The following is a 12,740-nucleotide window of genomic DNA, read 5'->3' as shown; positions in this document are numbered from 1 at the left end:
TTCCATAGCTTGTCTCTTCATCTTCTTAACATGGTTTTTCAAGGAGCAAAGGTTTTAATTTTTATTGTGTCTAATTTGTCAATCTTTTCTTATATGGATCATGCTTTTGGTGCCAAGCATAAGAACTCTATGCAGCTTTAGATTTGAAGATTTTCTCCTATGCTTTTATTTATTTATTTATTTATTTTTAATTTTTATTTTTTGAGACAGAGTCTTACTTTGTCACCCAGGCTGGAGTGTTGTGGCGCAATCTTAGCTCACTGCAACCTCCATCTCCTGGATTCAAGTGATTCTCCTGCCTCAGCCTCCCTAGTAGCTGGGATTATAGGTGTGCGCCACCACGCCCAGCTAATTTTTGTGTTTTTAGTAGGTGGGGTTTCACCATCTTGGTCAGGCTGATCTCGAACTCCCGATCCCAGGTGATCCGCCTGCCTCAGCCTCCCAAAGTGCTGAGATTACAGGCATGCACCACTGCAGCTGAGCTCCTATGCTTTTAAATAAAAGTTTCATAGCTTGAATTTAAGCCCGTGATCCATTTTAATTTTTGTGTAAAGTGTGAGACTGAGCTCAAGGTTCATTTTATTGTCTACAGATGTTCGGTTGCTTCAACACCATTTGTTGAAAAGATGATCCTTTCATTGAATCCCTTTGTACCTTTGTCAGTAATTGGTTGTGCATATTTACGTAGGTCTATTTCTAGGTTTTCTATTGTGTCCATTGATCTACTTTTCTATTCTTCCATTGATATCCTGTTTGATTACTGTACCTGTATAATACATCTTAAAATCAGGTAAACCGATTCTTTCCACTTTTCTTAAAATTAATAGAATTAATTTTGTTGAAAGGAATTAGGTATACAGAAAAATTGAGTGGAAAGTACAAAGAGTTTCCATATACCCCTTCAATCCCTCCTCTCCAGTTTTCCCTATTAACATCTTGCATCAATGTGGTTTATTTATTACAATTGCTGAGCTTATGTTGATACAATATTACTAACTAAAGTTCATAGTTTACAATAAACTTTGTGTTGTATATTCTATGGGTTTTGACAAATGTATAATGACATGTATCCGCTATTACAGTATCATGCAGAATCGATTCACTGCCCTAAAAGTCCCACGTTCCACCTATTCTTCCATTCCAACTTAGCCCACTCTCCCTCCCTATTGTCCCCTGGCAACCACTGATTTTTTTTACTGTCACCAAAGTTTTTGCCTTTTCCATACAGTTGAGATTATATAGTATGTAATTTATTGAATGATTTATTTCTCACTCTGTCCCCCAGACTGGAGTGCAGTAGTGCTATCATGGCTCACTGCAGCCACCACCTCCCAGGCTCAAGCAATCCTATGCACGCCACCATGCCAGGCTAATTTTTAAAATAATTTTTTTAAGCGATGGGATCTCACTGTGTTGCCAGGCTGGTCTTGAACTCCTGGACTCAAGCAAGCCTCTTGCCTCAGCCTCCTAAAGTGCTGAGATTACAAGTGTAAGACGCCACTGCCAGCTGGTAACCTTTTTAGATTGACTTCTTTCACTTAGCAATCTGTATTTAAGATTACTTTGTGTCTTTTTGTGACTTAATGGCTCATTTCTTTTTTCCTTTTTCTTTTCTATTTTTTTTTTTTTTTTTTTGAGATGGAGTCTTGCTTTGTCGCCCAGGCTGGAGTGCACTGGCGCTATCTTGGCTCATTGCAAGCTCTGCTTCCCAGGTTCACACCATTCTCCCGCCTCAACCTCCCGAGTAGCTGGGACTACATGTGGCTGCCACCACACCTGGCTAATTTTTTGTATTTTTTTTTTTTTAGTAGAGATGAGGTTCCACTGTGTTAGCCAGGATGGTCTCGATCTCCTGACCTCATGATCTACCTGCCTCGGTCTCTCAAAGTGCTGAAAGTGCTGGGATTACAGGTGTGAGCCACCATGCCCAGCCTTCTTTTTTCTTTTCTTTCTTTCTTTTTTTTTTTTTTGACGAGGTCTCACTCTGTCGCCCAGGTTGGTCTTGAACTCCCGGACTCAAGCAATCCTCTGGCCTCAGCCTCTCTAAGCACTGGGATTACAAGTGTGAGCCACAGTGCCCAGCAGCTCATTCCTTTATTTTATCACTGGATAATCATCAATTGTATGTCTGTATTATGATCTGTTTATCCATTGACCTATAGAAGGAAGTCCTAGTTGATTCCTGGTTTTAGCACTTATGAATAATTAATTTCACTTCTTAAAAAAAAACACCTCTTTTAGGTATTCTCATTCTTTTGCTTTTCTACATAAATTTTAGAATAATCTTTGTATCTCCAAAACACTTGCTGGGATTTTGATAGGAATTGTGTTAAACATAGTTTGGAAAGAACTGACATCTTTACTATGTCAAGTCTTCTAATCCATGAACATGGTATGTCTCTTCATTTATTTAGACTTCTGATTCCTTTTATCAGCATTATGTTGTTCTCAGCATATAAATTCTGCACATGTTTTGCTGGATTTATGCCTAAGCATCTCTTTTTTTAATTGATTCTGAGTGATACTGTATTTTCTTTTTTTTGAGACAGGGTCTCACTCTGTCTCTGAGTCTGGAGAGCAGTGGTGCAATCTCTGTTCACTGCAGCCTCAACCTCATGGGCTTAAGCCTCCTGCCTCAGCCTTCCAAGTATCTGGGACTACGGGCTCATGACACCACACCCAACTAATTTTTGTATTTTTTGTAGAAATGGGGTTTTGACATCTTGCCCAGGTTGGTCTTGAACTCCTGGATTCAAGCAATCCACCTACCTTGGCCGCCCAAAGTGCTATGATTACAGGCATGAGCCACTACGCCTGGCCACTGGGTTTTTAATTCACTGTGCATGTGCTCACTGCAAGTATATAGAAATACAATTTGTTTGTGTGTGTTTAGTTTTTATCCTGAGACCTTCCTGAATATACTTTTTAGTTCTAGGATTTTTTTTTGGTAGATTCCTTGGGATTTTCTATGTAGACAGTCATGTTATCTGCAAATAGGTTTTTCTTCTTCTTCTTCTTTGTATTTTTTGATTGGTGTATCATAGTTTTACATATTTTGGAGGTAATTGTGATATTTCGATGCAGGTATACAATATGTTATGATCAAGTCAGGGTAATTGGGATATTTATCTCCTCAAACATTTATCTTTTCTTTTTGTTGGAAACATTACAATTCTTCTAGCTACTTTGAAATGTATGATAAATTATTGCTAACTATCATCTCCCTACTTATATTATCAAAGGCTAGAACTTATTCCTTCTACCTAACTGTATTTTTGTACCCATTAACCAACATCTGTTCATCCTTTCCTCCCCCACCCTTCCCAGCAGGTGGTAAACACCATTCTATTCTCTACCTCCAAGAGATCCACTTTTTTTTTTTTTTAGATGGAGTCTCATTCTGTTGTTCAGGCTGGAGTGCAGTGGCATGATCTCGGCTTACTGCAAGCTCCACCTACCAGGTTCACCCCATTCTCCTGCCTCAGCCTCCCGAGTAGCTGGAACTACAGGTGCCTGCCACCAAGCCTGGCTAATTTTTTGTATTTTTAGTAGAGACAGGGTTTCACCGTGTTAGCCAGGATGGTCTCGATCTCCTGACCTCGTGATCCACCTGCCTTGGCCTCCCAAAGTGCTGGGATTACAGGCATGAGCCACGATGCCTGGCCAAGATCCACTTTTTAAGCTCCTACATGCTAGTGACAACATGCAATATTTGTCTTTTTGTGTCTGGCTTACTTCTTTTCTTTTTCAACCTTTTGTTATTAAATTTTTTTAATTGACACATTTAGATATATATATTTTGGGGGTTCATGTGATAATCATATACATTCATATAATTTGTAAAGATCAAATCAGTGTAGTTGGGATAGCCATCACCTTAAATATTTGTCTTTTCTTAATGCTAGAAATATTGAAATTATTGTCTTCTAGCTATTTTGAAATATACAACAGATTATTTTAAACTATAGTCACCCTACTGATCTATCAAACACTAAGTCATATTTCTTCTATCAAAACTATATTTGTACCCATTATTCAACCTCTCTTCAACCCCTTTTCTCCCCTACCCTTCCCAGCCTCTGGTAACCACCCATCTAGTCTCTATCTTCATGTGATCCACCTTTTTAGTTCCCATGTATGAGTGAGAACATGTGATTTTTTTTGTCTTTTTGTGCTTGGCATATTTCACTTAGCATAATGACCTCCATTTCCAACTGTGTTGCCACAAATGACAGGATTTCATTGATTTTTATGGCTGAATAATATTCCTCTGTGTATATATACCACATTTTCTTTATCTACTCATCTGCTGATGGGTACTTAGGTTGATTCCATATCTTGGCTATTGTGAATAGTGCTGCAATAAACATGAGACTGCATATATCTCTTTGACATACTGATTTCCTTTCTTTTGGATATATACCCAGAAGTGAAATTCCTGGATCATATGGTAGTTCTATTTTTAGTTTTTTGAGAAACCTCCATACTGTTTTCCATAATAGCTGTACTACAATTCATCCCATCAGCAGTATACAAGCATTCCCCTTCTTCTCATCCTTGCCAACATTTAGTACTTTTTGTCTTTTTAAGGACTAAACTTTTAGGACTACACTTTTTAGTTTAGTCCTAACTGGGGTGAAATACTGTCTCATTGTGGTTTTGATTTGCATTTTTCTAATGATTAGTGATGTTGAGCATTTTTCATATACCTGCTGCCATTTGTATGTCTTCTTTTGAGAAAAGTCTATTTAGTCCTTTTGCCCATTTTTAAATTGAAGTGTATATTTATTTTTGCTATTGAGTTGTCTGAGTGTCTTATGTATATGTATGTGTTCCTCCTTCTTATCTGTATGCCTTTATTTCTTTTTCTTGTCTTATTGCATTGGCTAAGACTTCCAATATTGTGTTGCATAAGAATTGTGAGAGTAGACATCTTGCCATCCTTAAGGCAAGAAATGTCAACATTAAGTATGGTTTTAGCTGTAGGTTTTTTTTGGATGCTCTTTATCAAGTTGAAGAAGCTCCCCTCTGTTCCTATTTTTCTGAGAGTTTTTTCATTAATGGACATTGAATTTTCTCAAATAATTTTTCTGCCTCTATTGATATGATCATGTGATTTTTCTTCAGCTGTTAATACGATAAATTACATTGATTCATTTTCAATATTAAACTCATGGATTGTTTAGAAGTGTGTTGCTTCATTTCCAAGTGTTTGGAGATTTTCCATTTTTCTTTCTGTTATTTATTTTTAATTTGTTTTCATTGTGGTCAGAGAACACATTGTATATGATTTCAGTTCTTTTAAATTTGTTGTGTTTTGTTTTATGGCCCACAACATGATCTGCTTGATAAATGTTCCATGAGCACTTGATTAAAATGTGTATTCTGCTGTTGTTGGGTGAAATGTTCTATAAACGTTAATTAGATTGTCTTTGTTAATGGTGTTTTCCTAGATCCTTGCTGATTTTCTGTCTAGTTATTCTATCCATTGTTAAGAGAAGAGTGTGTAGTCTCCAACTAAAATTGTAGATTTGCCTATTTCTCCTTTCAGTTCTATCAGTTTTTGTTTCACATATTTTACAGCATGATTGTTTGGTGCATACACATTTACCATTGCTATGTATTTTTTGATAGCTTGCCTTTTTTTATCATTATGTAATGTGTCTTTCTGTTTCTGGTTATTGTTTTTGCTCTACACTGTACTTTATCTTACATTAATATAGTCACTCCTGATTTCTTTGATTAATGTTTACATAATATATATTTTTCTGTCCTTTCAACCTGCCTAGATTATATTTACAGTGAGTTTCTTGTAGACAGTGTATAGTTTAATCATGTTTTAAAATCCAATATGCCAGTCTCTCTTTTTAAAATTGGTGTGTTTAGACCATTTACATTTAATGTCACTATTGATATGTGAGGGCTTCAATCTGCCTTTTTATTTTTTGTTTTATATTTGTTCTCTAAGATTTTTATTTCTTAGTTTACTTTTCTCTGCCTTCTTGTGGGTTAGTTGAACAATTTTTAAAATTCTATTTTGATTTATCTACAGTGCTTTTGAGTGTATCTCTTTAAGCAGCTTTTTAAGTTGCTCTTAGATATTCCATTATACATACATAACTTATAATAGGCTACTGGTGTTCTCATGCTCCCAGTTCAAGGATAGTATAGAATCTTATCTCTATTTTTGTCCCTTTATCATCCCGCATTTGTAATATACTTGTCTTAAATATGTAGTTGATATACATTTAGAATAAAATCAGACAGTGTTGTAATTTTTGCTTCAATCATTAACATAATTTAGAAAACTGAAGAGAAGGAAAACCTATCGCATTTACCCACATTTTTGCTTACTGTGTTCTTCTTCCTTGCTAATGTTACAGTTTTCCTTCTTTAACTTTTTCTTTATATTTAGAGAAGTTCTTTTAGCCATTCTTTTAGGGTGAGTCTACTGGCAACAAATTCTTTTACTTTTTCTTATTTGAGAATGTCTTGATTTCCCCTTCATTCCTGGAGGATATTTTTACTGAGTATAGGATTCATGGTTGACAATACTTTTCTTTCAGCACTTTAAAAATATTGTGCCATCTTCCTGTAACTTCTGATGGAAAACCAGTTGTCATCTTAACTGTTTTCCCCCTTTAGATAAAGTGTAGTTTTTCTCTGGCTGCTTTCTAGGTTTTTTCTTAGTCTTTAGTTTTCAAAAATAATGTGCCTTGGTGTGGACTTTTAAGGATTTATCTTCTTTAGGGCTGGTTTGTGTTCTTCAGTCTACAAGTGTATGTCTCTTGCCAAATTTGGGAAGTTTTCAGCCATTATTTTTTGGAGTACTTTTTTCAACTCCACCCTCTTTCTCCTCTCCTTCTGAAACTCCTAAGAAATGAATGCTAGGTATTTTGTTATAATCCCCATCAGGTTCCTCAAGGTTTCTTAATTTTTATTTTCAGTTTATTTTCTCTCTGTTGTTCAGGTTGTGTAATTTCTAGTGTTCTATCTTCTAGGTCACTGCTTCTTTTCTCTATCCACCCTTCCTTCCATCACCATCATTCTGCTTTTGAGCCCATCCACGGAGCTTATTTTGTTTATTATCTTTTTCACTTCTAAAATTTCCATTTGATTCTTCTTTATATCTTTTATTTCTTTGCTTAGCCTGCCTGCCTGCCTGCCTGCCTTCCTGCCTTCCTTCCTTCCTTCCTTTCCTTTCCTTTTTGCTGATGTTTGTATTTCTACATTTGTTTCTAGCATGTTCATAATGCTTTAAAATCTTTGTCAGATCATTCTAACAACTCTATCATCTCAGTGTTGGCATCTGTTAATTATGTTTTTCTCATCCAGTTTGAAATCTTCCTGGTTCTTGATATGATGAAAGATAGACATTTTCATTTTATGTTATGGAACTGTGGATCTTATTCAAGCCTTCTCTTTTAGTTAGCTTTTTTTTTTTTGAGAGGGGAAGTGGGGGGAATGGGTGCTCCCTTCTTATGACCAGGTGAAAATAGAAGTCCAACGTTCCCACTCTGCCTTATTTGACACCTGCAGAGTGGGGGAGGAGCCTAGTGACTGATGATAAGTGTGGGGTGGGAGTATCAGCTCCACACACAGTCTCCACTGACACAGCAGTGGGGGTGGCCACAGTGCCACTCGGTGGTAGTGGAAACCCCAACTCTCCATTAGGACTTCTCTGACACCTTCTGGTGAAGACATGAAGAGGAGGACCTTGTTACTTCTGAACTAGGGTAGTAGTCTAGTTTCCACTGATATCATGGGTTGGGGGAGACTTCATTACCACACAGCAGGGATGAAAGTTACAGCTCCTATTTGGCCTCTCTGGCACTGCCCTGGCCAGAGTTTGCAGTCTCTGTGAAACACACGTATCACCTCCTAACATCACCAAGGCTGGTTACCAGTTATGGCTTGGCAAGGGTGGGGGTCCGGACTCCCTACTTCACCTTTCCAGGGATGTGGGAGTGGGGCCACAGGTTTTCTGTGGTGGTTGGCAGGAGTAGGGTGGTTATTGGCTAAAAGTTTTCTGTTTCGCTAGATGCCCCTTTCCTGGTCGTTGGCTAAAGATCAGGCATTTGCTGGGGTTGTTTTTGTCACTATCTGGCAGTGCTTCCTTATTGCCAACATCTTCAGCTCCAGTCCTGTGATATATGAGGTGGGACTCACCACTGGGTCATTCTTGGGCTCCAGGGCCCCTAGTCCATCTGTCTTCTTCTTCCACTTTTCAGAGTCTTCTTATGTTTGTTTTGTATATAATGTCCAGGATCTTATTTGCACTTAGTAGACGTAATAGGGAAAAGTACATCTAACCCATTTTTCTGGAAGCAGAAGTCTGTCTTTTTTTTCTATATTATATATAAAGCTGTGACAGAATCTGTCTATATAAAGCTTTCCCCACATGTGGGATGGATTCCCAGAAGTACAGTTAGTTGGCCAAAGGGTATGAACATTTCTGTGACACTTACCATCTACAATTCCTTAAATTACTTAAAAGGTTATACCTGGTCTCACTACCTCCAGCACTTTCTGTCCTGTTGAGAGTCATGTTAATTTCTAAGCAGCTCTGAACAGCATGTGTGCTGACCAGTGAACTAACAGGCAGTGCCTGCCAATCTCTAGGTGGATTTTTCCACTCAAGCTCTTCCACTTCCTCCACTGAGAAGCCAGAGGGTGCCAGAGACTATGGGCTTCGGCAAGAACCAGGTGAGACCCCACAAGGAAGAAGACAAGAGCAGGAGTGCGTGAGCTGTGTGCCAATGCCAGCTCTCTTGACAACTGCTATATTCTTAGGGAAACTGCCTGTTCCAATCAAGAGTCTAAATGACAAACAACATGATTAACACATTTGCTGTATGGTGTCGAGAGTAAATGGAAACTTAAGGCTGAGAGGTGGGGAAAGAATGAGCATTCTATGATCCTAGAGCTGGCTGGGCCCAGGTGTTTCTGCAACAGCCGGCCATGACTGATCACAAGCTCTGGGCCAGGGGAGGTGATGTGTTTTTCATGGGGAACATAAACCTTGGTCAGTTGGTGTCATGGAGTCGGGGAGAGGAGCAGTTGCTGCAGCTGGTAGATCCTTTCCGATAGCACTAGTGAAGGGTGGTAACATGTGGAAGATCCTGAATAGGAGCTAATCAGAAGATGACTTCTACTTGCCTCTGAGCCATTTGACCATAGTGCTACCTTAGCTGTCCTTCTCTGGCCCAGAACTTTTGATTACTTGGGCCAATTTGGAATGTGGCTTTGTCTCCAGGGTCTTCTCTCCCTGCTCCATTATGTTGGAATTTCCAGAGACTATGGGCTTCAGCAAGAACCAGGTGAGACCCCACAAGGAAGAGGACAAGAGCAGTAGTACGTGAGCTGTGTGCCACTGGAAAGAGTGAGGAAGTCACAGCTGAGTGCCAGTCCCTCCTCCACTCTCCTGTCCAACTCCTCCCTGCAGTCGCTGTTCTAGGTGTGATTATGCGCTCTTCTGTGGGACAAGAAGATGGTTAAGTGTACATTTTAAAGAACTTGTCTGAATCAAAACTAGGTTTTCAGGCTGGACACAGTGGCTCATGCCTATAATCCCAGGAGTTTGATACCAGTCTGGGCAACATAGAGAGACCCCCTTCTCTCTTTTATGTGTGTGTATATATATCTGTGTGTGTGTGTTTGCATTTGTGTGTGTGTGTGTGTAAATCTATATCCAGGCATGGTGGCACATGCCTGGCCTGTAGTCCTAGCTGCTGGGAGCACTGAGGTGGGAGGATTGCTTGAGCCCAGGAGATCAAGGCTGCAGTGAGCTATGATCACACCACTGCACTCCAGCCTGAGTGACAGAGAACGACCCTGTCTCTAGAAAAATAGAAAACAAGACCAAAGAAAACAAAAAACACTAAGCTTTCAAAAAAGAAAACACTCACACAGTTGGAGTAGCATAAAGTAAGTCCCACAGATGTAGAATAAGATGCTGAGAAAGCAAACAGCTTGTTGGGCTCAGGAGCCTTCATAAACTTAAAAGCAAAATTTGCAGTGGACAAGCCACAGATGATTTGCACATCCCAGCTTTCCCAGCTGTGTTCTGAATTCTCTCCCAGGAGTGGCTGCCTCCACCTTTCCTGCAGACCAGGAGATCCTTGCAGGCAAGGGCTTTGCTTTACTTGAATCCCCATTGAATCTGCATTGTCTTGCCCCATTCTCCCCCATGTGGCAAAATTGAGTTAGTGGCAATGATGAGCATCCCTGGTTTTGGACTTGCAGACTGGAGCCCTTCCCCGACTATGTGACGTGCTACAAGTGCTGTGGGAAGAGCAAGACCAGTGCCTGCAGGAACTCTCCAGAGAGCAGACAGGAGACCTGGGCACGGAGCAGCCAGTGCCAGGTATGAGGCTTGCCACAGCCCATGTCCTCTCTTGGGGGTGGAGCATGTCCGGTCCTGCTGGGCAGGGGGAGCTTATCCTGGGCCAGGATGGGATGTGGGAGGCTGGTCCAGCTTTTCTCACTCAGACAATCAGCTGGTGGGGCAGGGCTGGAGTGGTTCTGGTGAGCAGATCGCATGGACCCCAAAGCCAGATCCTCACCACTCTTCCTTTCTCTGGGCAAGTAAACATAGCCGGTGTTTTCCTATCATCAGCTTCTGCATGCTGACTTGGCCAACGTAAGAGCTTGGTGGGAATTTCTCTGCAAGACAGTTCTCCTCTCATTCATCCTCCCACCTCCCTGCCAGCTCCATGAGTGAGGTAGTAGGAAAGGCAGCCTGGGTCCACAGTAGTGTGGCCTGCCTGCTAGGTGACACTCACCGGCTGTGTGAACACAGGCAAATTATTTAGCCCTCTGAGTCTCCATTTTCTGATTTATAGAATGGAGGTGGCCAGGCGTGGTGGCTCATGCCTGTAATCCCAGCACTTTGGGAGGCTGAGGTGAGTGGATCACCTGAGGTCAGGAGTTCGAGACCAGCTTGACCAATATGGTGAAACCCCACCTCTACTAAAAATGCAAAATTAGCCGGGCGTGGTGGCGCATGCCTGTAATTCCAGCTACTAGGGAGGCTGAGGCAGGAGAATCGCTTGAACCCGGGATGCAGAGGTTGCAGTGAGTTGAAATGGCACCATTGCACTCCAGCCTGGGCAACAAGAGTGAAACTCTGTCTCAAAAAAAAAAAAAAAAAGAAGAAGAATGGAGGTGATAATGTCTTCTTCAGGATTATAATGATAAATGAGATAAAGTGTGTTAAATACAGCTGCCTTGTAAATATTGCTAATTTAAATGTTAATTATTATTATTAATCAACACTTTAAGCACTAAGTTTATATTTAAATGTTAACTTTATTTTTATTCCCTTACTAAACGTCTCATCTTTGCTCTCTGTCATCTAAGGATAAGGAGGGGTATAGCATTAAGAACCCACTGCCAGGGTTCAAATGGACATCTGTACATGGATGTTCATAACAGCCCCCTTCACAAGGATGAAGAAGTGGAAACACCCCTAATGCCCATCAACTGACGAATGGATAAACAAAATGTGGTTTATCCATCCAATGGGATATTATTCAGCCTTTAAAAGAAAGAAGTGATGATATGTTCTACAGCATGGACAAACCTTGAAACATAATGCTAAGTGAAACAAGCCAGATACAAAAGGACACACATTGTGGCTGGGTGCAGTGGCTCACGCCTGTAATCCCAGCACTTTGGGAGGCCAAGGTGCACAGATTATTTGAGGTCGGGAGTTCAAGACCAGCCTGGCCAACATGGTGAAACCCCATCTCTATTAAAAATACAAAAATTAGCCAGCATGGTGGTGGGCACCTGTAATTCCAGCTACTCAGGAAGCTGAGGCAGGAGAATCGCTTGAGCACGGGAGGTAGAGGCTGCAGAGATCATGTCATTGCACTCCAGCCTGGGTGACAGAGTGAGACTCTGTCTCAAAATAAATAAATAAATAAATAAATAAATAAATAAATAAATAAATAAATATTAAAAAAGTAAAATAAAGGAACACACTGTATGATTTCACTGATATAAAATGTGCAGATGAGCCAAACCTGTAGAGACAAATTAGATTAGTGCTTGCCAAGGCTGAAGGAAGGAACAATGGGAAGTGATTGCTTGAGGGGTACAGGTTTCCTTTTGGAATTGGTAAAAATGTGTTAGAACTAGATAGAGGTGATGTTTCCACAATATTTTATTATGAAGGTACTAAACCACTAAATTGTACACTTTAAATGGTTAATGGTTAGTGTTATGTTATATGATTTTTCTTCCATTTGAAAAGAAAGACAGCGGGAAAGAAAAATAAACAGAACCCAGGCTTTTAAATTAGACAGACTGATCTTGAACAAGGCCTCAGTTTTGACATCTATTTTATGGAGTTGGTGTGAAATGAAAAGCATTCATTCAAAGAATGCTTATTTAGCACTTGGTGGTGTCAGGTGAGTGGTGAGAAACAAGCGTTGTCGGCTGTGCTCTCATCACTTAGGAATGCGTTTTGCAGTGTGTGGCAGGAGCCTGATACACTGGTTTCACCAGACAGGAATTTATTTGTTGCATATTACAAAAAGAGCTGGAGCAAAGTTCCAAGATGTTGCCATATTCCAGATTCCTCTCTTTTGCCTGAATGTGTGGCTTCTGTCCTCATGGTCATATAATGGCTGCTGTACCTTCAGGGAGGAGAGAAGAATACCTGCATTTCTGGCAGGAAGTAGAAGAAACTCACTAGAAGGAAGGATGAGATATACTGGGAAGCCAGACTTTCC

General features: G+C 40.2%; 1 protein-coding gene across 12 annotated transcripts in view; it reads left to right on the top strand.

Annotated features, from left to right (window-relative positions):
• The window catches only part of SCTR (secretin receptor), an 84,641-nt gene that overhangs the window by 19,690 nt on the left and 52,211 nt on the right, over nt 1–12,740 (top strand). For 9 of the 12 annotated variants that reach the window (XR_922984.3, XR_001738889.2, XR_007079571.1 and 6 more), the window contains exon 2: nt 10,246–10,366. Coding sequence is in view for 6 of the 12 variants with exons in the window: in NM_002980.3 (NP_002971.2) it covers nt 10,246–10,366 (121 nt within the window). In the remaining 6 variants the exon portion in view is untranslated. Of the gene's footprint in view, nt 1–8,565; nt 9,321–10,245; nt 10,367–12,740 lie in introns of those variants that run through there. The other 3 variants (XM_047445403.1, XM_047445402.1, XM_017004670.2) reach the window with 2 other exon arrangements.

The sequence above is a fragment of the Homo sapiens genome, chromosome 2, assembly GCF_000001405.40.
Source record: "Homo sapiens chromosome 2, GRCh38.p14 Primary Assembly".
NCBI classification, from domain to species: domain Eukaryota; kingdom Metazoa; phylum Chordata; class Mammalia; order Primates; family Hominidae; genus Homo; species Homo sapiens.
Note: the sequence above shows the minus strand (reverse complement) of the source record. Positions and strands in the feature narration are given on the sequence as shown.